Source organism: Homo sapiens, chromosome 10, assembly GCF_000001405.40.
Source record: "Homo sapiens chromosome 10, GRCh38.p14 Primary Assembly".
NCBI classification, from domain to species: domain Eukaryota; kingdom Metazoa; phylum Chordata; class Mammalia; order Primates; family Hominidae; genus Homo; species Homo sapiens.
Window position 1 is genome coordinate 95,122,689 of NC_000010.11, and position 26,989 is coordinate 95,149,677.

At 40.5% G+C, this 26,989-nt stretch overlaps 1 long non-coding RNA gene across 1 annotated transcript in view; it reads right to left on the reverse strand.

The window, feature by feature from the left end:
* LOC107984257 (uncharacterized) overlaps window positions 1-26,989 on the reverse strand; it is a 125,247-nt gene that overhangs the window by 19,157 nt on the left and 79,101 nt on the right. The window contains exon 7 of the long non-coding RNA XR_007062253.1: window positions 1,531-21,730. This is a non-coding gene — a long non-coding RNA (uncharacterized LOC107984257). The remainder of the gene's footprint in view (window positions 1-1,530; window positions 21,731-26,989) is intronic.

Consider the following 26,989-nt stretch of genomic DNA (forward strand, 5'->3'; position numbering starts at 1 on the left):
CTGATGCAAGATTCTCATGCTGTTTTTATTCTTCTGGTTGGGAGCCTCTGACTGCCATTGTTTCTATTTGGACATCTTGGCTCCACCCCCTGTCAAGTTGTTTATTTTTAAATAACCATTTCCATTGAAGAATAAAATACATAGAGATTGTTGCATATGTCCTAAATATATGGCTCAATGAATTATCGCAAAGCAAATATATCTGTTTAGCCAACAAACAGGCCAAGAAAAAAATAATCCCAGGACCACAGAAGCTCCCTTATGCTTCCTGTTAATACTTGTGGTTGCATTATGAAATTTTTGTGTGTATATCTCAGCTCTATCAGATCATGTTGGTTCTTTTTTTTATAGTGGATATTTTGTCCATCAGTTTCTGTATTATTTTATTGTAATCCTTATATTCTTTGGATTGGGTGTTGACTGTATCCTGAATCTCAATGATGTTTATTCCTATCCATATTATAAATTGTATATGTGTCAATTCAGCCATTTCAGCCTGGTTAAGAACCCTTGCTGAGAATTAGTGTGGTTGTTTGGAGAAAAAAAAGATACTCTGGCTTTTTGAATTTCCAGAGTTTTTGGAAACTCTGGTTCTTTCTCATCTGTGTGGGCTGGTATTCCTTTAACTGCAGTGTAAATTGAGCACAGTCAGTAGACTTCTTTTCTGAATGTTTTAACAGGGCCAATGCTTTGTGCAGAGTCTTATTTGCAGCTGAAAATTTGTCCTTGGATTCACAGGGGGTATTTTAGCAAAGTATTTTTGGTGTTGAAGTTTTGGACTGTGACCCCTTGATGGAACTGAAGTGTGATCGTCAGTAGGCAGATTCTTGCTTGGCCACATGGCTTCTCTGTATTTCCTCATGATTGCAGCCATGCTCCCTCTCACTGCTCTAAAAGTGTGGGCTTCTCTCCCAATTGAGAGTTTAATATGAAAGCAACAATTTTTTTTTGAGAAAAACTTATATTCCCTGCTTGACTTGCCATTAAGGAATAATTTTAGGTCTAGGTCATCTTTTATAATTTGTGATATGATTGGGAGAAATACATTATTCTGTGGCTAGAGTAACTTTAGTGTTAACCTTGGCTAAATCTCTCCTGCAATTATTAATTCTTTCAAGACTTCCACATACCATCTAGAAAATGCTTAAACTTTCTCACTTGTCCTAAACATGCCGCTTTTTAAACAATCAGTTATTCTCTTTAGGACAAGAATTTACCTCCCCTAAAATATCCTTTCTTATATAAAATCTCTTTCCTTTATAACCTTCTTTGCATAGCTATGGTGGCCAAACTCAATAAAAAATTCTAGCAGACTCAGTGATAGTAAAAGTTTTGTGCTTCCTTTTTGTTGGTAAATATTATCTCTGCTATAAGGATAATAATTAAGCAAAATACTACAACAATAGAAACTGTCTGATTTTCTAGTTAGAAGGTGCTACAGTATATAGTCACACTGCAAATAGTAGAGCAAGTACAGCAATTCCTGAAAGTGTGGTGTAGTAGATAATTTACATTTAAAATTTTACTCACCAAGACATAACATTTCCCTTTGGGTGTCTATGAAGTTACAAATGCAATTTCATGAATAATTAAAAATCTCCCTGCAAGTATGCATCAAAATATGTTTTAAAACCTGGTAGTGACTCTCAAGAGGAAAAGTAGAAATGACTAAATGTATCTGGTAAGGTAAACATGGGACTAAGTAGGATGAGTAGCCCTTACTCATTTACTTATCTTTTATGATTTTCAGCTTGAAATCTCCTAGTTCTTCACATTAATCTCCAGGACATTCCTCTAGGTTGTCAGGGGTTGCTCTCTTGGTTTTCCAGGCTTTGACTTTAGTATGATGTATCCAGGAGCTGATATCTGTAACTTCTACTGTGGAGGGGATTGAAAGAAGAGCAATTCAGGGCCCTTCCTAGATTAGGCATAGGGAAGTAGAGAGGGAAGGGAGAGCTTTTACCAACACCAAATCTTCTGAGTTAAATAAAGGTGGTCCTGTTTCTTGCGGTTGGGCTTCTGCTAGTTGAGTTAATTTTCACAGTAAAGCCATGGGAAGAATAGTGACCCAAGGAAGGTGGGTTTCATGAGACAGTTTCCTGAGATGTCTTTTGATGATATCACTTGTCTTCTCTACCTTTCCTGAGGACTGAGGTCTCCAAGCACAATGGAGATTATACTGTATGTCTAGTGCCTTTGAGATGCCCTGTGTGACTGCTGCCTTAAATGAGGGGCTGTTGTCACTTAGAGGTACTTAGGTAGACAAAACAAGGAATAATTTCATTAATTAACACTTTTATTACCTCAGGATTTTTCTGTATGGCATGGAAGTGCTTCTACCTAGTTAGTGGAAATATCTACCAATACCAGGAGGTATTGGATGCCCTTCATCTTTGGCATGTAGGTGAAGTCAATTTGCCAGTCCTCCCCTGGGTAGTTTCCCATCCTTTGGATTTGAGAAGGAAGGAGCCATCTGTTGAGGGAATTATTTTTAAGACAGACTTTACAACAATTAACATCCTGTTTGACTGTTCTTAATAAGCTCTTTCCTGAAAACAATCTCTGGAAACAGTGATAAATTTTATCCTTTCCCAAGTGAAAAGCTTGGTGAAGGAGTTTAAGGATTTTCCATTGGCTGGAGGCTGGCAAATGGAGCTTGCCATCCTGATTGTAGCCATTCTGAGGACTGGAGAGTGTACCCTAAAGAAGTGCCCCATTCCATTTCTGCAGGGGAGTACTGAGGTTTAATTTATTATGAAGCCTTCCCAGATTAAAGGGCCTTGAAGTGTGCTGATGTCCTGAGGCTTCCTTGCTGCTGACTTGGCTGCCTGATCAGCTAACATGTTTCCACTGGGTATTTTATCTACTCCTTTCTTATGTCCCTTACAATGCATCTCTGCAAACTCTTGTGGAAGGAAAACTGTTAATTTCCTGTTGGTATTTTATAGGGGATCTATTGGCAGTACAAAAGTGTCCTTCCTTCCAAATGGCAGCATGAGCATGATGGATAACTAAGAAAGCATACTTGATGTGAGTGTAAATGTTAGCTACCTTTCCCTTACTTAATTCAAGTGCTCTTATAAGGGCTTTCAGTTCAACTAGTTGAGTGCTTAGGCCTGAAGCAAGAGATGCACTTTCAATTGCATAATTCAGAGTGATTATTGCATATCCCACCTTATGGACTCCTTGCTCCACAAAGGAGTTTCCATCCATAAAGAGGGTCCGGTCTGGATTTTCTAGGAAAGTTTCTCTGAGATCCTCCCTGGCTGCATAGGTCTGTACCACAACCTGTTTAAGTCATGCTCAGGTTTCCCTGTTTCCTCAGGGAGAAAAGTGGCTGGGTTTAGGCAAGAGCAAGTTTTTACCTGGATGGTGGAACCCTCTAACAAGACAGCTTGATATTTAAGGAGCTGGCTATCTGTTAGCTAAATGTTCCCTGGAGGAGAGTAATCCTGCCACATTATGTGGGGTGTAAACAGTTAAATCCTTTCCCAGGATTAATTTGGAGGCTTCTGGGACCAGTAGGGCCACCATGGCAATATCTCAGAGGCATGCTGGCTATCCTTTAGCCACCAAATTAAATTTCTCACTCAGATAAATCTCTGGCTGTTGAGCTGTCCTCAGGCATGCATTAAAACTCCCAGGGCCATTCCCTTCCTTTCTGATACATACAGATTGAAGGCCCTATGAAAAGACTGAGGGTTGGTGCCTTAAGCAAGCCTTGTTGTAACTGGTTAAAGGCCTTTTGAGCTTCAGGTTCCCAGATTAAGAGAGGAGTTTTAGCCACTTGAGTTTCTTTATGAGGTGATATAGAGGATAAGCTATCTCACCATACCCAGGTATCCATAGCCTGCAAAATCCTGTAATGCCCAAAAATCTTCTTAGTTGCTTTAGGGTTTTGAGGAGGGAAAAGGAAAAAATGGGCTTAATCCTTTCTTCCCCTAATGCTCTGGTCCCTTCAGACAGAACTACATCCAAGTACTTCACTGAGATTTTGCAAAGCTGGGCCTTATATTTTGAAACCTTATATCTTCTGTTAGTTAATAAATTAAGAACTTCAGTGCTTTCCTGGGAAGCTTCCTCAGGTGGGGCACAGAGTGGTATATCATCCACATATTGCAAGACCCTGACCTGAGGATGGAAAACCTCAGAGAGGTCTTTTGATAGAGCCTGTCCAAACAAAAGAGGATTGTCTCAAAATCCCTAAGCAGCGCTATCCATGTTAACTGGGCAATTTGGCCAGAGGGATCTTCAAAGACAAGCAGGTATTGAGAGTCAGGATGTGATGGTATACAGAAAAGGCATCCTTTAAACCTAGGACTGCAAATCATTTAGTTCCCTGAGGTATTTGGGTCAGCACAGTATTAGGGAATAGGTATTACTGGATAAATTGGGACTACCACCTCATTAATGAGGCAGAGGTCCTGAAGTAGTCTCCATTCCCCATTGGGATTTTGCCTTCCTAATATTGGGGTGTTGCAGGGGCTGTTACAGTGTTTGAAAAGGTCCTGCATCTTCAGGTTTTTAATAATGGCTTCTAGCCCTTTCCTAGCCTCTGGCTTTAGGGGGTATTGTCTTTGGTTGGGAAAATAAGTGGGATCATTAAGATGGATCTGGACTGGCCTAGTGGTTACTGCTCAACCTACTCTTCCTTGTTGCTCACACTTCTGGATTGATATTAGCTTCTACCAGGGGGAGACAAAGAGTTTGTCCCCCATGTGAACCAAAATGTCTCTACCTAATAAAGGAGTGGGACTTTCAGGTGTGATTGAAAAGGCATGTGTAACTAATAGGTTCCCCCCAACTGCAACTAAGGGGTTAAGAAAAATAACAGATTAGAGTTTTTTCTGAGGTGCCCCTCACAGTTATGGGAAGATGGGAGGCCTGGATTAGAAAGAAGAAGAGAGAGGCTTGCTGTAGTGTCCAGAAGGAGGTCTACCTTTCTTCCTTCAATTTCCAGAATCACCTGGGGCTCCTGTGCTGTAGTGGCATTTGAGCTCCTGGAGCCAGAGGTTTGAGCCCCAGGACATATCAGCCCAGTTGGATCACCTGTGAGATTGGTTCTGAACCCAGTGACCTTTATCTCCAGGGACAATCCAATTTCCAGTGATCCCCATCACATTCTGGACAGGGTCATGGTGGTTTCTTCTTGCTGCCTGGGCACTCCTTAAAGTGCCCTGACTTGCTGCACTGATAGCAACTAATGGATGCACCTCAGGGATTCTGGACTTTGCAAGTTTGCAAAGCAGTTACTAGAGCCTCTGTTCTTCTCTTTTACTTCCTCTCTTTCTCCTGGACCTCCTTCTGGTCCCTATAATAAAAGACAATGGTGGCCACCCTCAGGAGGTTCTTCAAGGTGCTATCTGGTCCTATAACCTGCCTCTGTAGTTTCCTTCTAATATCAGGATCTTCCTGTGTAATAAACTTGTCCTTCAGGATGAGCTGTCCCTCAACTGAATTGGGGAATAAGGAGGTGTGTTTTATTAGTGCCTGTCTGTCTTTCCATAAAGGCTGTGGGATTCTCATCTGGCTTTTGGTCTATCATAGACAGTTTGGAGTAATTAAGATCTTTGGCCCTAATTCTTTCTAGGCCCTCCAATATGCACATTAGAAACTGTTTTCTTTTTCATTCATCTGTGGTGTCACTGAAGTTCCAATTAAGGTTGTCAAGAGGTATTGCCCCTCTTCTTATTGGGAATGGCTTTTCCCCTATTTCTTCACCTTCCCTATTTATTTTCTCTTTTCCTTTTTGGCCTACTATAGAAGACATACTGCTCATCTCGTAATTTCTCTGTTGCCTGCAGAGCTTCCTGCTTTTCACTGTGGTTAGGGTTTGGATTAGGAGCAGCATAACATCCCTCCACAAGAGGTCAAACACCTGAGTTAGGTTTTGGAAAGCTTCTATATACCTAACAGTGTCATAAAAAATCTGCCTAAGTCTCCCTTTATTTGCCTAAGGTCCTGCAATAAGAAGGGAGCTTGAACCCTTGTGGCATCACCTCTGTTGGGCATTACCTGTAGGCATAAGTGTGAAGGTGCAGAAATGGGGAGTTTTTAAGGTGGTGGGGGTAGAGCACCTGGTGGTGCAGTGGGAGGTTGCCCCAGGTAAGGGGGATTGGAAGGGCTGTAACACTCAATAGATGATTTCTCCATGATATGGTTTGGCTGTGTCCCCACCCAAATCTCATCCTGAATTCCCAGGTGTTATGAGAGGGACCTGGTGAAAGGTAATTGAATCATAGGGTCAGGTGTTTCCTGTGCTGTTCTTGTGATAGTGAATAAGTCTCACGAGATCTGATGGTTTTAAAAATGGGAGTTTCTCTGCACAAGCCTTTTTGGCCTGTTGCTCCTCCTAGCCTTCTTCCATGATTGTGAGGCCTCCCCCACCACGTGGAACTGTAATTCCATTAAAATCTCTTTTTCTTCCCAGTCTCAAGTATGTCTTTATCAGCAGTGTGAAAATGGACTAATTCAGTAAATTAGTACCAGTAGAGTGGGGCACTACAGAAAAGATACCCCAAAATGTGAAAGCAACTTTGAAACTGGGTAACAGGCAGAGGTTAGAACAGTTTGGAGGACTCAGAAGAAGACAGGAAAATGTGGGAAAGTTTGAAACCTTCCAGAGACTTGTTGAATGGCTTTAACAAAAATGCTGATAGTGATATGAACAATAAGGCCCAGGCTGAGGTAGTCTCAGATGGAGATAAACTTCTTGGGAACTGGAACAAAGGTGACTCTTGTTATGTTTTAGCAAAGAGACTGGCAGCTTTTTGCCTCTACCCTAGATATTCATGAAACTTTGAACCTGAGAGAGAGAATTTAAGTTATCTGGCAAAAGAAATTTCTAAGCAGCAAAGCATTCAAGAGGTGACTTGGGTGCTGTTAAAGGCATTAAGTTTTAAAAGGGAAATAGAGCATAAAAGTTCAGAAAATTTGTAGCCTGACAATGCAATAGAAAAGAAAATCCTATTTTCTGAGGAGAAATCCAATCCAGCAGCATAAATTTACATAAGTAATGAGAAGTCAAAAGTTAATCCCCAAAACAATGGGGAAAATGTCTCTAGAGCATTTCAGAGGCCTTCACAGCAGCCCTTCTTGACACAAGTCCAGAGTCCTACAAAGAAAAAGTGGTTTTGTGGGCTGGGCTTGAGGTCCCCATGCTTTATGCAGCTTAGGGACTGGTGCCCTGCATCCTGGCCACTACAGCCATGGCTGAATGGGACCAATAAAGAACTCAAGCTGTGGCTTCAGAGGGTGTAAGCCTCAAGCCTTGTCCACATTATGTTGAGCCTGCCAGTGCACAGAAGTCAAGAACTGGAGTTTGGGAACCTCCACCTAAATTTCAGAAGATGTATGGAAATGCTTGGATGTCCAGGCAGAAGTTTGCTGCAGAGATGGGGCTGTCATGGAGAACCTCTGCTAGGGCAGTGCAGAAGACAAATGTAGGGTTGGAGCCCCCAAACAGTATCCCTACTGGGGCACTGCCTAGTGGAGCTGTGAGAAGAGGGCCACTGTCCTTCAGACCCTAGAGTGGTAGATTCACCAACAGCTTGCACCATGCACCTGGAAAATTCATGGTCACTCAACTTCAGCCAATTAAGGCAGCCAGAAAGGAGGCTTTACTCTGCAAAGACACATGGGTGGAGCTGACCAAGATCTTGTGAACCCACTTCTTGCATCAGTGTGACCTGGATGTGAGACATGGAGTCAAAGGAGATCATTTTGAAGCTTTAAGATTTGATTGCCCCACTGGACTTCAGACTTCCCCGCAGCCTGAAGCCCATTTGTTTAGGTCAATGTTTCCCATTTGGAATGGCTGTATTTATGAAATGCCTGTACCCCCATTGTATCTAGGAAGTAACTAACTTGCTTTCAATTTTACAGGCTCATAGGCAGAAGGGACTTGCCTTGTTTTAGATGAGACTTCAGACTTTGGACTATGTACTTTTGAGTTAATGTTAAAATGAGTTAAGACTCTGGGGGACTGTTGGGAAGGCATCATTGGTTTTGAAATGTTAGGACAGGAGATTTGGGAGGGACCAGTGGTGGAATTATATGGTTCGGCTGTGTCCCCACACAAATTTCATCTTGAATTCACATGTATTGTGGGAGGGACCTGCTGGGAGGTAATTGAATCATGGGGGCAGGTTGTTCCTGTGCTGTTCTTGTCATAGTGAATAAGTGTCATGAGATCTGATAGTTTTAAAAAGAGGAATTTCCCTGCACATGTTCTTCTCTTTGCCTGACACCATCCATGTAAGATATGACTTGCTCCTCCTTGCCTTCCACCATGATTGTGAGGTCTCCCAAGCCATGTGAAACTGTGAGTCCAATTAAACCTCTTTCTTTCTTTTGTAAATTGCCTAGTCTTGGGTATATCATCTTTATCAGCAGTGTGAAAAACAGACTAATACACTCTGGAAGTTGCTTTTCTAGTCTTGGGGAATCATTCCCTTTGGGCCTTCCTGATATGATTGCTAGAAGGGCTGGGTGAATTGTGCAATGCTTGCAAAGGTCTGGGTTTTCTCATAGGGCAAAGAAATCTTGTATATAATGGACCTTGGGCCATTTTCCCTCCCATATGGAGAAAAGATCTAATTCTTGGACACAATTTAAATTAAAGCTTCCTTCCACAGTTTAGGCTGTTTCAAGTGGGTAAGAAGGCCACACCTTTGTGGGAAAAAAAAAGCCACTTTTCTTCATATCTCAGGGTAAAAAGAGTCCCAGTGTTTTCAAATGCACTCCAGAGGACTACAGGCCGAAGATGATCTGTTACTCATCTAGAAATGGAAGCATGAAAAAGATGTCCCTTTAGTCTCCTTCCTATTGGTGTGACCTAGGGTGGAGGGGAAGACAGTGGTGGCATGCTCCACCTACTGATTTCCCTCCTTGGCTCCTGAGTACCAGCACCTTATTTAATGTGCTGCCCATGGCTGCATTCTTGCAACCCTGCAGCCATTTAAAAATACAGGACCAGAGGAACTAAGCAATTGAGATTAGTCATGCTTACCCATGTGACTCTAGTCCTCCACTTGTGATTTCCCTTTGACTTCCTAGACTTATGTGGCCTCTGTGGCTCCTAGAAGGATGGATCTTGGGAAAAACTATAATATTTGCATTTGAGCAAGGCTCCTTTAATGGATAGTGCATGCTAGATTGAACTCTATATCCTGCTTATTATGGCCCATGTTAAAGCGTTTACCCTTAGAGAATGGTTCCAATTAACTTCCAAACTTGAAATCCCCTTGCTGATTGCCATTCTAACTGGTGTGAGATGGTATCTCACTGTGGTTTTGGTTTGCATTTCTCTGATGGCCAGTGATGATGAGCATTTTTTCATGTGTCTGTTGGCTGCATAAATGTCTTCTTTTGAGAAGTGTCTGTTCGTATCCTTTGCCCACTTGTTGATGGGGTTGTTTGTTTTTTTTCTTGTAAATTTGTTTGAGTTCTCTGTAGATCCTGGATATTAGCCCTTTGTCAGACAAGAGGGTTGCAAAAATTTTCTCCCATTCTGTAGGTTGCCTGTTCACTCTGATGGTAGTTTCTTTTGCTGTGCAGAAAGGATCTAGAACTAGAAATATCATTTGACCCAGCCATTCCACTACTGGGCGTATACCCAAAGGATTATAAATTATGCTGCTATAAAGGCACATGCACACGTATATTTACAATAGCAAAGACTTGGAACAAACCCAAATGTCCATCAATGATAGACTGGAGTAAGAAAATGTGGCACATAGACACCATGGAATACTATGCAGCCATAAAAAAGGATGAGTTCATGTCCTTTGTAGTGACATGGATGAAGCTGGAAACCATCATTCTCAGCAAACTATCAATCACAAGAACAAAAAACCCAACACCACATGTTCTCAGTCATAGGTGGGAATTGAACAGTGAGAACACTTGGAACAGGAAGGGGAACATCACACACTGGGGCCTGTCATGGGGTGGGGGTAGGGGAGAGGGATAGCATTAGGAAATATACCTAATGTAAATGACGAGTTAATGGGTGCAGCACACCAACATGGCACATGTATACATATGTAACAAACCTGCACGTTGTGCACATGTACCCTAGAATTTAAAGTATAATTAATTTAATTAAAAAAGAAAAAGAAAAAAAATCCCCTTACTATTTCAGTACCATTTTAATTGGAGGCAGAATAGGTGCCTTAAAAGAACATAGGGACCAAATGGCAGTTTTCTAGTTGATGGGACAGTATCGAAACTAAACAACTTTGTCTTTGGAGGACATTTTACTCCTAATTGTTGTTGAAGGCAGAGTTTTCCTGTTCACAGAAGCAGCATGAAGCCTGGTCTCTAGCAGAGGGGCACAAAAAGGGAGGAGAATTTGGAGGCTAGAGTGTTTTGGCAGAGGACCAACAATGTGCTTCATGGAGAGAATTCCCATCCCACTAGGTGGCGCTGTTGACCTTGAAATGCCATGTGATCTCTAGACTAAGGGCACAGGGTGACCATGACATGTCATGTGCTCTCCATACCAAGGGCAGAGAGTGAACTTCAAATGCCATGTGCTCTCCAGACAAGGGTAGAGTGTTACCTGGAAATGCCATATGCTCTCCAGACCAAGGGCAGAGAGTGACTTCACTGTGATGAGGGACCCTCTATTCCTAGAAAATTACAACGGCATTCCCTTGAGCTACACCTTCAGTTACTATGGCATTTCCTGATCTTACCTAACAAGATTACTTCCCTGAACTGTAAAATTGCTGTGGCATTGCATACAAAGAGAGAGAGGATGGGAGACATGGTGGTTGCAGACAGGAATGGAGGAAATTATAGTATGAAAGCTGGAGATCCTGTTGCTGACACTCTGTCAGGCAGTCAGAGGATGAGGTCAGTCCAAATCCTTTGAACAACACCAGGGAGTAGCTTCCGCCAGAAATCCTCAGTTGCTTCAGAACTTTTTCCAGCCCCATTCAATTGCTAGGTCCTCTGAAAGAAAACTGGTTCAAACATGGCCAATATGCCCAGCAACGTGTGGGTACTGGGGGATTCTACATGTTTTCCCCAGCAAGCCTCTCCCCCATGTCTTGTAAAGCTGGCAGCCATGCTAATTATTTTTAAATGACTGAAGGGAGCCCAGTATTTGGTATGATTTGATTCTAAAATGGAGGCTGAGAGCCTTGAAATGAAAGGACAGAGTTGAGTTTCACTCCTGTATTCAACATTCCAATGAAAGTACCTTGGGATCCTGGACACACCCCCAGTATGAAGATGCATTGTTGTCTAAGGTAAATACCTGAGGTTCATCGTCTTGCAACAAGAAGTCTAAGGGCATGGACACACACAAGGAGTGAGTTTAGGAGTAGAAGTTTTATTTCCAAAGAAAGAGAAAGGAGAATAGCTCTCTCTCTTGTGAGAGAGGGGGCGTCCAAATAAGAATTCTGCCCCATGGCAGAGTGAACCAGATTTTACAGACAGGCTTGAGGAAGCAGTGTCTAATTTACATAGAGCCCACAGATTGGTTGGACCAGGGGTGAGGTTTACATAGTGCATGGGGAAGCTGGCCATCCCATCCTAATCGTCTTATTATGCAAATGGGATCTTTGCTTGACTAATGCCATGTTCCCTGCTCCTTACTGTACATGTGGCTGGCAAAGAGAAGGGAAGATGGAACTGACATTTTGAATGTGCCCAGTCCCAGGCAGCCTTTTCTTATTAGCACAACTGATGGCATTCACCAGTGCAAGCTTCCAGCTTGTTTCTCTATGTCTGCAAGTCATTTTACAGTCTGCTATTTGTAGGAAAAGAAAGTATTTTGGGCTGCTTTTCATTAAAAGGAAAACCTTACTGAGGACTCCTGTGCTCTCACTATCTGCCTAAATAACTTTTTAAAACTCATATATTACTAACATATGTTGCATCTTGGAGAAGTTTCCATATGCATTGAGAAAAATGTGGTTTTTTGTTACTGTTGTGTGGAGTGCTTTGCATGTGTCTGTTAGGTCCAACTGATTATAGTATTGTTCAAGTCCTGTATTTTCTTATCGAAGTCCTGTCTGGTTTTCTTTTCTTCATCATTAAAGAATTTTTTTTGCTGGATAAAGTATTATAGACTGGCAGTTATTTCCTTTTAGCATTTAGATGATATTATTCTATCATCTTCTGAATTTCATTGCTTTTATTTAGAAGTTAGCAATAGTATTGTTACTTTGAAAGGAAATGCATTTTGTTCTCTTTCAATTTTTAGGAACTTTCTTTAATATGTGTTTTATAGTCTTTTGAATATTTTCTGCCTAAACATGTTTTCTTATATCTGGTTTCAGGCTCATAGTTCTCCTCCAATATGTAACCCAATATCTTTAATCTGCTCTGAAAAATTCCAGGTGTTTATCTGTTCAATAGCTTCTTCTCCATTCTATCTTATCTCTCCTTGGGAAGTCTAATTTCAACCTAAGCTCTATAAGCTTCTTCATTGCCTTTTCTCTATATTTTTTTCTTAAGACTGTATGTTGTTTTCTCATTTATTTTCCAATTTATGAATTATTTAGCTATGAAATATCTGGTATTAAACCCATTCATTAAGCAATTCGCTATAGTTAGTGTATTTTTAGTTGCAAAATGTTCATTTAATATTTTAAAATATTTTATATTGTTATGCTGGTATTATTTACCTTTGAATTTATTTCTATATATATGTAGTAACATTTACTGTTATACAACTTTCAGAGAATTCCAAGATTTATGTTAATGTGGGGTTTTATTCTGTTGTCTATATTTTATTCTCAAACTTCTCTATGTGTCTTGTTTTTATTTCTATTTAGACATGGGGTCTCCCTATGTTACCCAGGCATAACTCAAATGCCTAAGCAGAAGCAATGCTCCCATCTCAGCTTCCCAAGAAGCTAGGGCTACAGGCATGCACCACTATACTTGGTATGTCATTTTATTTTTTTGCATATCTAGTTCTTTCATGTTTTCTTTTGCTCTGTTGAAATATAAAATAAATGCAGTTAAGAGCAATCATATTAAGTATAAACATTAATGAATATTTACACGTGTATAAACTTTCATAAACACCATTCACATCAAGATCTACAACACTTCTAACATGCCAGATGCTCTATTATGCCTGTTACAAGTACATTTGCCTCAGAGAATGAGGTGTTATTCTGACAGAAGGTTGATTTTGTCAATGAGGGTTATACTCTACCAATGTAAAAAAATGGAGGACTTCTGGCAAGATGGCTGAATAGGAAGAGCTCCAGTCTGCAGCTCCCAGCGAGACTGACACAGAAGGTGGTGATTTCTGCATTTCCAACTGAGGCACCTGGTTCATCTCAATGGGACTGGTTGGACAGTGGGTGCAGCCCATGGAGGGAGAGCAGAAGCAGGGTGGGACATCGCCTCACCCTTGAAGTGCAAAACGTCGGGGAATTCTCACCCCTACCCAAAGGGAGCCATGAGGGACTGCGCCATGAGGAATGATGCACTCCGACCCAGATACTGTTTTCCCCATGGTCTTCACAACCCCCAGGCCAGGAGATTCCCTCCAGTGCCTACACCACCAGGACCCTGGATTTCAAGCACAAAAGTGGGCAGCCGTTTGGGCAGACACTGAGCTAGCCGCAGTTTTTTTTCATAACACGGTGGCACCTGGAATGCCACTGAGACAGAACCATTCACTCCCCTGGAAAGGGGACTGAAGCCAGGGAGCCAAGTGGTATAGCTTGGTGGGTCCCACTTGAATGGAGCCTAGCAAGCTAAGATCCACTGGCATGAAATTCTCGCTGTAGGCACAGCAGTCTGAGGTTGACCTGGGAAGCTCAAGTTTGGTGAGGGGAGGGATGTCTGCCATTGGTGAAGCATGGGTAGGCAGTTTTACCCTCACAGTGTAAAGAAAGCCACTGGGAAGTTAGAAATGGGCGGAGCCCACCACAGCTCAGCAAGTCCACTGTGGCCAGACTGCCTCTCTAGATTCCTTCTCTCTGGGCAGGGCATCTCTGAAAATAAGGCAGCAGTCGAAGTCAGGGGCTGACAGAGTACCTGGGGGGAAGGGGTGGCTGTGGGCACAACTTCAGCAGAGTTAAATGTCCCTGCCTGATGGCTCTGAAGACAGCAGCAGATGTCCTGGCACAGTGTTCAAGCTCTGCTAAGGGTCAGACTGCCTCCTCAAGTGGGTCGCTCACCCCCGTGTATCCTGACAGGAAGACACCTCCCAGTAGGGCCTAACATACACCTCATATAGGAGAGCTCTGGCTGGCATCTGGCAGGTGCCCCTCTCGGACAAAGCTTCCAGAGGAAAGAACAGGCAGCAATCTTTGCTGTTCTGCAGCCGCTGCCGGTGATACCCAGGAAAACAGGGTCTGGAGTGGACCTCCAGCAAACACCAGCAGACCTGCAGCAGAAGGGCCTGTTAGAAGGAATACTAACAAGCAAAAAGGAATAGCACGTTCAGTCAGAGACCCCATCGGAAGATCACTAACATCAAAGACCAAAGGTAGATAAATCCACAAAGATGGGGAGAACCCAGTGCAAAAAGCCTGAAAATTCCAAAAACCAGAATGCCTCTTCTCTTCCAAAGGATCACAACTCCTCACCAGCAAGGGGACAAAACTGGATGGAGAATGAGTTTGATGAATTGACAGACTTCAGAAGATGGGTAATAACAAACTCCTCTCAGCTAAAGGAGCATGTTCTAACCCGATGCAAGGAAGCTAAGAACCTTGAGAAAAGGTTAGACAAATTGCTAACTAGAATAACCAATTTAGAGAAGAACATAAATGACCTGATGGGGCTGAAAAACACAGCACAAGAACTTCGTGAAGCATACGCAAGTATCAATACCCAAACCAATCAAGTGGAAGAAAGGATATCAGAGATTGAATATCAACTTAATAAAATAAAGTGACAAGACAAGGTTAGAGGAAAAAAATAAAAAGGAATGAAGAAAGCCTCCAAGAAATATGAGACTATGTGAAAACACCAAATCTACATTTCATTGCTGTACCTGAAAGTGATGGAGTGATGAAACCAAGTTGGAAAGCACTCTTCAGGATATTATCCAGGAGAATTCCCCCAACCTAGCAGGAAAGCCCAACATTCAAATTCAGGAAATACAGAGAACACCACAAAGATACTCCTTGAGAAGAGCAACCCCAAGACACATAATTGTCAGATTCACCAAGGTTGAAATGAAAGAAAAAATATTAAGGACAGCCAGAGAGAAAGTCTGGTTTATCCACAAAGGGAAGCCCAGCAGACTTACAGTGGATCTCTCTGCAGAAACCCTACAAGCCAGAGGAGAGGGGGGCCAATATTCAACATTCTTAAAGAAAAGAATTTTCAACCCAGAATTTCATATCCAGCCAAACTAAGCTTCATAAGTGAAGGAGAAATAAAAGCCTTTACAGACAAACAAATGCTGAGAGATTTTGTCATCACCACCAGGCTGGCAAATTGGATAAAGAGTCAAGACACATCTGTGTGCTGTATTCAGAGAACCATCTCATGTGAAAAAGACACACATAGGCTAAAAATAAAGGGATCGGGGAATATTTACCAAGCAAATGGAAAGCAAAAAAAAGCAGGGGTTGCAATCCTAGTCTCTGATAAAACAGACTTTAAACCAACAAAGATCAAAAGAGACAAAGAAGGCCATTATATAATGGTAAAGGGATCAATTCAACAAGAAGAGCTAACAATCCTAAATATATAAGCACCCAATACAGGAGCACCCAGATTCATAAAGCAAGTTCTTAGAGACCTACAAAGAAACACAGACTCCCACACAATAATAGTGGGAGATTTTAACACCATACTGTCAATATTAGACAGATCAACAAGACAGAAAATTAACAAGGATATTCAGGACTTGAACTTAGCTCTGGACCAAGTAGACCTAATAGACATCTATGGAACTCTCCACCCCAAATCAACAGAATATACATTCTTCTTAGCACCTCATTGCACTTATTCTAAAATCAACCACATAATGGGAAGTAAAACACTCCTCAGCAAATGCAAAAGAATGGAAATCATAACAAACATTCTCTCAGACCACAGTGAAATCAAATTAGAACTCTGAATTAAGAAACTCACTCAAAATTGCACAACTACATGGAAACTGAACAACCTGCATGACTACTGGGTAAATAATGAAATTAAGGCAGAAATAAAGACATTCTTTCAAACCAATCAGAACAAAGACACAATGTACCAGAATCTCTGGGACACATTTCAAGCAGTGTGTAGAGGGAAATTTATAGCAGTAAATGCCCACAAAAGAAAGCAGGAAAGATATAAAATTGACACCCTAACATCACAATTAACAGAACTATAGAAGCAACAGCAAAGAAATTCAAAAGTTAGCAGAAGACAATAACTAAGATCAGAGCAGAACTGAAGGAGATAGAGGCACAAAAAACCCTCCAAAAATAAATGAATCTAGAACCTGTTTTTTTGAGATCAACAAAATAGATAGACCGCTAGCCAGAGTAATAAAGAAGAAGAGAGAGAAGAATCAAATAGACACAATAAAAAATGATAAAGGGGATATCACCACTGATCCCACAGAAATACAAACTACCATCAGAGAATACTATAAACACCTCTACATGAATAAACTAGAAAATCTAGAAGAAATGGATAAATTCCTGGACACATACACCCTCCCAGTCTAAACCAGGAAGAAGTCAAATCCCTGAATAGACAAATAATAGGTTGTGAAATTGAGGCAGTAATTAATAACCTTTCAACCAAAAAAAGTCCAGGAACAGACTGATTCACAGCCGAATTCTACCAGAAGTACAAAGAGGAGCTGATACCATTCCTTCTGAAACTATTCCAAACAGTAGAAAAAGAGGGAAACCTCCCTAACTCATTTTATGAAGCCAGCATTATCCTGATATCAAAACCTGTCAGAGAAACAAGAAAAAAAGTTTTCAGGACAAAATCCTGGATGAACATCAATGCGAAAATCCTCAATAAAATACTGGCAAACCGAATCCAGCAGCACATCAAAAAGCTTATCTACCATGATCAAGTCGGCTTCATACCAGGGATGCAAGGCTGGTTCAACATACACAATTCAATAAATGTAATCCATCACATAAACAGAACCAGTGACAAAAACCACATGATTATTTCGATAGATGTAAAAAAGTCCTTTGACAAGATTCAACACCTCTTCATGCTAAAAACTCTCAATAAACTAAGTACTGATGGAACGTATCTCAAAATAATAAGAGCTACTTATGACAAACCCACAGTCAATATCATATCAAATGGGCAAAAACTGGAAGCATTCCCTTTGAAAACCAGCACAAGACAAGGATGCCCTCTCTCACCACTCCTATTCAACATAGTTTTGGAAGTTCTGGCCAGGGCAATCAGGCAGGAGAAAGAAATAAAGGGTATTCAAATAGGAAGAGAGGAAGTCAAATCGTCTCTGTTTGCAGATGACATGATTGTATATTTAGAAAACCCCATCGTATCAGCCCAAAGTGTCCTCAGCTGATAAGCAACTTCAGCAAATTCTCAGGATAAAAAATCAATGTGCAAAAATCACAAGCATTCCTACATGCCAATAACAGACAAACAGAGAGCCAAATCATGAGTGAACTCCCATTCACAATTGCTACAAAGAGAATTAAAAACCTAGGAATACAACTTACAAGAGATGTGAAGGACCTCTTCAAGGACGACTGCTAAGAGCTGCTCAAGGAAATAAGAGAAGACACAAGCAAATGGAAAAACATTCCATGCTCATGGATAGGAAGAATCAATATCGTGAAAATGGCCAAACTGCCCAAAGTAATTTATTGATTCCATTCCATTCCCATCAAGCTATCATTGACCTTCTTCACAGAATTGGGAAAAACTACTTTAAATTCCATATGAAATGTATGTCTTGGCCTGCATAGTCAAGACAATCCTAAGCAAAATGAGCAAAGCTGGAGGCATCACTCTACCTGACTTCAAACTATACTACAAGTCTACAGTAACCAAAACAGCATGGTACTGGTACCAAAACAGATATATAGACCAATGAAACAGAACAGAGGCCTCAGAAATAACACCACACATCTACAACCATCTGATCTTTGACAAACCTGACAAAAACAAGCAATGGGGAAAGCATACCCTATTTAATAAATGGTGTTGGGAAATCTGGCTAGCCATATGCAGAAAACTGAAAGTGGACTCCTTCCATATACCTTATACAAAAATTAACTCAAGATGGATTAAGGACTTAAGACCTAAAACCCTAAAAACCACAGAAGAAAATCTAGGCAATACCATTCAGGACATAGGCATGGGCAAGGACTTCATGAGAAAACACCAAAAGCAATGGCAACAAAAGCCAAAATTGACAAATGGAGTCTAATTAAACTAAAGAGCTTCTATGTAGCAAAAGAAACTATCATCAGAGTGAACAGGCAACAAACAGAATGGGAGAAAATTTTTTCAATCTATCCATCTGACAAAGGGCTAATATCCAGAATCTACAAGGAACTTAAGCAAATTTACAAGCAACGAACAACCCCATCAGAACAGACACTTCTCAAAAGAGGACATTTATACAGCCAACAAACATATGAAAAAAAGCTCATCATCACTGGTCATAGAAATACCATTTGACCCAGTAATCTCATTACTGGGTATACACCCAAAGGATTATAAATCATTCTCCGATAAAGACACACACACACACACACACACACACACACATATATTTTTATTGTGGCACCATTCACAATCGCAAAGACTTGGAACCAACCCAAATGCCCATCAATGATAGAATGGATAAAGAAAATGTGGCACATATATGCCATGGAATACTATGCAGCCATAAAAAAGGATGAGTTCATGTCCTTTGCAGGGACATGATGAAGCTGGAAACCATCACTCTCAGCAAACTAACACAGGAACAGAAAACCAAACACCACATGTTCTCACTCATAAGTGGGAGTTGAAAAATGAAAACACATAGACACAGGGAGGGGCATATCACACACAGCGGGGGCTAGAGGAGGGAGAGCATTAGGAGAAATACCTAATATAGATGATGGGTTGATAGGTGCAGCAAACCACCATGGCACATTTATACCTATGTAACAAACCTGTATATTCTGCACATGTACCCCAGAACTTAAAGTATAAATTTAAAATAAAAACCCTAGAAGAAAATCTAGGCAATACCGTTGAAGACATAGGTATGGGCAAAGATTTCATGATGAAATCTCCAAAAGCAATTATAACAAAAGCAGAAATTGACGACTGGAATTTAATCCAACTTAAGAGCTTCCACACAGCAAACGGAACCATCATCAGAGTGAACAGACAACCTACAGAAGGGGAGACAATTTTTGCAATCTATCTATTGGACAAAGGTCTAATATCCAGAAGCTACATGTAACTTAAACAAATTTAAAAGACAAACACAAATAACACTGTTAAAAAGTGGCGAAGGACATGAACAGACACTTCTTAAAATATACACATGCGGCCAAAAAATATATGAAAAAAAGCTCCTAAATAATAAGTGTATTATTAGAGAAATGCAAATCAAAATGACAATGATATACATGACATACCATGTCATGCCAGTCAGAATGGCTATTATTAAAAAGTCAAAAATCAACAGATGCTGGCAAGATTGTGGAGAAAAATGAAAACTTTTACACTGTTGGTGGGAGTGTAAATTAGTTTCACGGTGGTTTGCACTGTGAAAGACAGTGTTGTGATTTTTCAAAAATCCAGAGGCAGAAATACCATTTGACCCAGCAATCCCATTAGTAGGTATATATCCAAAGGAATATATATCATTCTATTATAAAGATATATGCATGCATATGTTTATTGCAGCACTACTCGCAATAGCGAAGATATGGAATCAACCTAAATGCCCATCAATGATAAACTGGATAAAGAAAATGTGGTACATACACACCATGGAATACTATACAGCCATAAAAAGGAATGAGATCATCTCCTCTGCAGGGACATGGATGGAGTTGGAAGCCATCACCCTCAGCAAACTAATGCAGGAACAGAAAACAAAATACCACATGTTCTCACTTATTAGTGGGAGCTTGATGATGAGAACACATGGACACCTAGAGGGAAGCAACACACACTGGGGCCTCTTGGAGCAGGGAGCTGGGGGAGGGAGAGCTTCAAGAGGAATAACTAATGGATGCTGGGCTTAATACCTAGGTAATGCTATGATCTTTGCAGCAAACCACGATGGCACATGTTTACTTATGTAACAAACCTGCATATCCTGTATGTGTACTCCAGAACTTAAAAGTTGAAAAAAAAAAAACAAAGAATGTGCAGACGTACTGACATCAGGGAATTGAGATCAGGATATCTGAAATCATCTGCCCACCACTGCCCCAAGTGACTCATTTTGGTGGGTGAGGGAGGAGCTATGGGGACGGACAGAAAGTGGGGCTTTTTAAATTAAAGTTTGATGATGCAATGGGGAAGCAAATTGTTCTGATCATGGTCAAGCAGCTTGATCAGACTCACCTTCCCATGGATAACTCTGTCTAAAATGGAGAAATTACTCACAGGAAAACAGTTCATGGAAGTCAGTGTCATCCACTTCAAGTAGATTCTGGAGGTGATGCCTATAAAAAGGAATTGCAAGGAGTGAAGTATTTGAGGGCACAGCTTTTCACCAATACATGCCCCATGAATGGCTTCCCTTATGCTCTTTTGCATCTTCATTTTACTATAGTTGTCAGGGTAGCTTTGTTCAATAAACACTAAGTATTCTCATTCTATTTTAATGTCTAGATAATACAAGTAATACTTTTTTTAAGACACAAATGATATTTTATTAATTGTGATAATATATACATAACAAAATTAACTATATTGATCATTTAGAGTGTATATTTTAGCATCCATAATTACATTCAAATTATTATGCAACAAACATCACTGTCTCAAGAACTCTTTTCATCTTGCAAAACTGAACTTTGTATCATTAAACAGTAACTACCCATCCTCAATTTCCTCCTATTCCTGACTACCCCCCATATAACAACCCATAGAAATTTTCTATATCTATGAACTTGTGTATTTCTAGGTACCTTAGATAAGCCAGTCACATAGTATTTTGTATGATTGTGGCTGTCTTATTTCACTTTGCATTAATATCTTTAAATTTCATTCATGGCATAGCATGTGTCAAAATTTACTTTCTTTTAAGGATAAATAATCTTCCATTGTATATTTGCACCACATTACTTCCTCAGTGGTCACTTGTGATGTTTCTACTTTTTGGATATTGTGAATAGTGCTGCTATGAACAGGGGTGTGGATATATCTCTATGATAAGTTACTTGCATTTCTTTCAGGTATGTACCCACAAGTAGAATTGCTAGATGATATGGTAATTCGCTTTAAATTTTTAAATTCTTTTTAAAAAAATACTTAAGAAATTCTGTCAAAAGCAAGAGAGCTGTGAACACCTGAACTACCACAGAATCCTTTCACCACCTCCCACTAATCCAGGAACACCAAGGTTCAGTTTGTCATCATCAGTGGATTCTGCTATGGAATGCTTTAGAATCACAGGAGTTTACCACTAGTCCAAACCTCCAGAAGGATGAAGTTTCTCCAAGTAGCCAAATCTTTTCTTGCTTGGAAAATTCTGAGGGCCCTGCAGACACCTTGGCCAGTTTGGAAAACACCACACTGCACAGATCACTGAGTTGGGTTCCACCAGGAGTCAATCCTGTGCCAGCTGGACATGAAACATGTATTGTATTGAAAGAAAATAAACAATAAAGAATAAACACAATAAGAGTTAACAGCACACAACAACATGGATAAATCTTGGGGACATTATGATAAATGAAATAAACCAATTACCAAAAGATAAATACTGTATGATTTCTCTTACATGAGGAACTTAGAATAGTTAAAATCATAGAGCTAGAAAGTAGAATGATTGCTAGAAGCTGGGGGACAGTGAAATGGGAGTTATTATTCAATGGGTAGAAAGTTTCAGTTTTAGAAGATAAAAAAGGTTATGGAGATGAATGAGCATGGTGGTTGAATAACATTAGAAATATATTTAATACGACTGCCTGTGTATTAGTCCAATTTCACACTGCTATAAAGAAATACCAGAGACTGGGTAATTTACAAACAAAGGAGATTTAATTAACTCACAGTTCCATATGGCTGAGGAGGCCTCAGGAAACCTACAGTCATGGCAGAAGGCAAAAGGGAAGCAAGGACATTCTTCACATGGTCGCAGGAGAGAGAAGTGCAAACGGGAAAGGCCAGACGCTTATAAAACCATCAGACCTCATGAGAACTTACTCCCAGTCATGTAACAGCATGGGAGAAACTGTCCCCATGATCCAATCACCTCCTTCCCTCTACACGTGATTACAATTCAACATGAGATTTGGATGGGGAAACAGAGCCAAACCATAAAAACACTGTACACTTAAAAATGTTTAAGATAGTGAATTTTATTTATGGGTATTTTATCTTGGCACAAAATTGGGGGAAAAAGAGTTAATAGCAAGGTGATTAGCAACTCCACTTTTCAGTCAGTTAGGCTTGGTTCAATTGCAGTCTCTGAACTTAAAATCTGTCTGACCTTGAGCAAGATTCATAACAAAACATCATCTCAGTTATCTGGTGATAAAATGGGTATAACAGTAGTGTGATAGGCTGAATAATAACTTCATCCCCCAACAAAAGATGCCATGTCCTAATCCTAGCAACATGTGAACCTATAAATTTGTTACTTTACATGGTAAAAGAAACACTCCAAATGTATTATGCTAAGGATATGACATGGGTAAATTACACTAGATTATCCAGGTGGGCCCAATGTAATCACATTGATCCTTATAAGAGGGAAATAAGAGGATAAGAGTGGATAGTAGAAGATGTGATACCCCAAGCAAAGGACTCATGAGCTGAGGAATGTTGGCAGTCTCTAGAAGCAAAAACAAAAATGCAGAGAAATAAATTCTCTCAAGGAAACAGCCTTGCTCAACACCTTGATCTTAGACCAGTGAAACTGATATTGGATCTTCGAACTTCAGAACTGTAAGATAGTCATTTGCATTATTTTAAACCACTAAGTTTGTTCTAATTTGTTATAGTACTCATGGAAACTAACACAAATTCTACATACCTCCTAGGTTTATAAGAAAGATTAACACAAAACATGCAAAATTCCAAAAAAAATGTGTAAAGGGAACCAAAAGTTGACTGATGGGGAAAGGTGCTGATGGAGGGAAGAGTACAAATTTCAATATAAGGTACTCAATGTATGCCTCATTGAGAAGTTGACCTTCTACATAAATGTACAAGAGTGCCTGTTTGCCCACACCTGACCAATGCTTACATGAACACGTTTTCATTTTCCAATCAAGAATGTTGAAAAGATATATAATATATATTTTTTTGTTTTTAAGCTACTTTCATGTTTAATAACCATTTCCATTTTCTTTTCCGATGTGGTTCATTAGAATCATTTTTCCATGTTTTTATTATATTGGGGTAGTTCCTGGTATATTGTTTACTAGAAAAACATCAAGTTGTAGAAAATACATGTAATATGAGCCAAATTTTATAAAGAACCACACTTAATAGCATACGTATTTGTGTGTATATATTATACATAATGAGTGAATATATATTTATGCAGTCATATGTGTATAGATACATATGTACTTATATGTACATCAATACGCTTATATATTAGCTTAAAATGCATGACAAATTGGCTCCCTCTGGAAGATAAGCTCACAAAGAGTAATCACTGATGTCTGTTCTCATTTCATAAACTTGAAGATAGAAGGAATGGGAATGGATGACTAGAATTTGATGTGTACTAGACGTTCAATTGTGTATATTTTGGAGATAAAATGAGGCTAATTACTTCAGGGCCATAGAATCAAATTATCATCACATTAATGATAAGTGTAAAACAATGAGGTAGAAATTAGAAAAATAATATAATCTACTGAGGCTTTGCAGAGATATTGTTCTTGTTTGGGGAGAGAAGAATAACATTCAGAACACATGAATAGCAATTTGAGAGCATATATTTATACTTGATTCTAAGTTGGAAACATGAAGTAAAAATAATATTTCAAATTTGTATTTAGTGTGGACAGTAACACCAAAGCAAGGGCATGAATTCTGACACTTAATGTTCATTCCTAGCTGTCACTTATACTTTTAATATTTCCCTAAAGGTTAGTTTTGCTGTTTGACAGACCTTCTCTCTCAAATCCAAATCTTGAGAAACTCTAGATAACACGCAGCCAAGAAAGCTTCCCCACCCTCTTTCCCTTTGTCCCTCTCTATGAGTATCATTATGAGGGACAGCATGGTTGATACTCTGTTTCATTTCTTTCTTCCATTATGCAAAAAAGAGGAAAAATTTGAGAATGGGCTAGCAATTAGTAACACTTTTCATTTAGAATATTCACAGAAGAAATGAATCTGAATTATGATATGGTAATCCTTTTTCTCTGTTTTATAATGATAACATATTAAAAACTCAGCACTAATTATTAGTATGTGTAGCCATCAATAAAAGAAGTATTACAGAATATTAATAATAGCAGATATACTTATGCAATGACCCAAGCAACTCTCCTTAATGAAGATTGGATGTTCAATGCATTTTGAGGGAACGGGAAAATGTGATTAGACGTCAGAAAAGAAATCCCTGAAGATGGCCAAATAGGAACAGCTCCAGTCTACAGCTCCCAGCATGAGCAAAGCAGAAGACGGGTGATTTCTGCATTTCCATCTGAGGTACCAGGTTCATCTCACTAGGGAGTGCCAGACAGTGGGCGCAGGACAGTGGGTTCAGTGCACCGTGCACCAGCTGAAGCAGGGCGAGGCATTGCCTCACTCGGGAAGCACAAGGGATCAGGGAGTTCCCTTTCCTGGTCAAGGAAAGGGGTGACAGACGGCACCTGGAAGATCAGGCCACTCCCACCTGAATACAGCACTTTTCCAACGGGCTTAGGAAATGGCACACCAGGAGATTATATCCCACACATGGCTTGGATGGTCCTACGCCCATGGAATCTCACTGATTCCTAGCACAGCAGTCTGAGATCAAACTGCAAGGCGGCAGTGAGGCTGGGGGAGGGGTGCCCACCATTGCCCAGGCTCCCTTAGGTAAACAAAGCAGCCGGGAAGCTCCAACTGGGTGGAGCCCACCACAGCTCAAGGAGGCCTGCCTGCCTCTGTAGGCTCCACCTCTGGGGGCGGGACACAGACAAACAAAAAGCAGTAACCTCTGCAGACTTAAATGTCCCTGTCTGACAGCTTTGAGGAGCGCAGTGGTTCTCCCAGCACACAGCTGGAGATCTGAGAACGGGCAGACTGCCTCCTCAAGTGGGCCCCTGACCGCCGACCCCTGAGGAGCCTAACTGGAAGGCACCCCCCAGTAGGGGCGGACTGACACCTCACATGGCTGGGTACTCCTCTGAGACAAAAATTCCACAGGAACGATCAGACAGCAGCATTCCCGGTCAAGAAAATCCGCAGTTCTGCAGACACTGCTGCTGATACCCAGGCAAACAAGGTCTGGAGTGGACCTCTAGCAAACTCCAACGGACCTGCAGCTGAGGGTCCTGTCTGTTAGAAGGAAAACTAACAAACAGAAAGGACATCCACACCAAAAACCCATCTGTACATCACCATCATCAAAGACCAAAAGTAGATAAAACCAAAAAGATGGGGAAAAAACAGATCACAAAAACTGGAAACTCTAAAAAGCAGAGCACCTCTCCTCCTCCAAAGGAACACAGTTCCTCACCAGCAATGGAGCAAAGCTGGATGGAGAATGACTTTGACGAGCTGAGAGAATAAGGCTTCAGATGATCAAATTAGTCCTAGCTACGGGAGGAAATTCAAACCAAAGGCAAAGAAGTTGAAAACTTTGAAAAAAGCTTAGAAGAATGTATAACTAGAATAACCAATACAGAGAAGTGCTTAAAGGAGCTGATGGAACTGAAAGCCAAGGCTCGAGAACTACGTGAAGAATGCAGAAGCCTCAGGAGCCAATGTGATCAACTGGAAGAAAGGGTATTGGCGATGGAAGATGAAGTGAATGAAATGAAGTGAGAAGGGAAGTTTAGAGAAAAAAGAATAAAAAGAAACAAGCAAAGCCTCCAAGAAATATGGGACTATGTGAAAAGACCAAATCTGCGTCTGATTGGTGTACCTGAAAGTGATGGGGAGAATGGAACCAAGTTGGAAAACACTCTGCAGGATATCATCCAGGAGAACTTCCCCAATCTAGCAAGTCAGGCCAACATTCAGATTCAGGAAATACAGAGAACGCCACAAAGATACTCCTCGAGAAGAGCAACTCCAAGACACATAATTGTCAGATTCACCAAAGTTGAAATGAAGGAAAAAATATTAAGGGCGGCCAGAGAGAAATGTCGGGTTACCCAAAAAGGGAAGCCCATCAGACTAACAGCGGATCTCTCGGCAGAAACCCTACAAGCCAGAAGAGAGTGGTGGCCAATATTCAACATTCTTAAAGAAAAGAATTTTGAACCCAGAATTTCATATCCAGACAAACTAAGCTTCATAAGTGAAGGAGAAATAAAATACTTTACAGACAAACAAATGCTGAGAGATTTTGTCACCACCAGGCCTGCCCTAAAAGACCTCCTGAAGGAAGCGCTAAACATGGAAAGGAACAACCAGTACCAGCCGCTGCAAAATCATGCCAAAATGTAAAGACCATCGAGACTAGGAAGAAACTGTATCAACTAACGAGCAAAATAACCAGCTAACATCATAATGACAGGATCAAATTCACACATATCAATATTAACCTTAAATGTAAATGGACTAAATGCTCCAATTAAAAGACACAGACTGGCAAATGGGATAAAGAGTCAAGACCCATCAGTGTGCTGTATTCAGGAAACCCATCACACGTGCAGAGACACACACAGGCTCAAAATAAAAGGATGGAGGAAGATCTACCAAG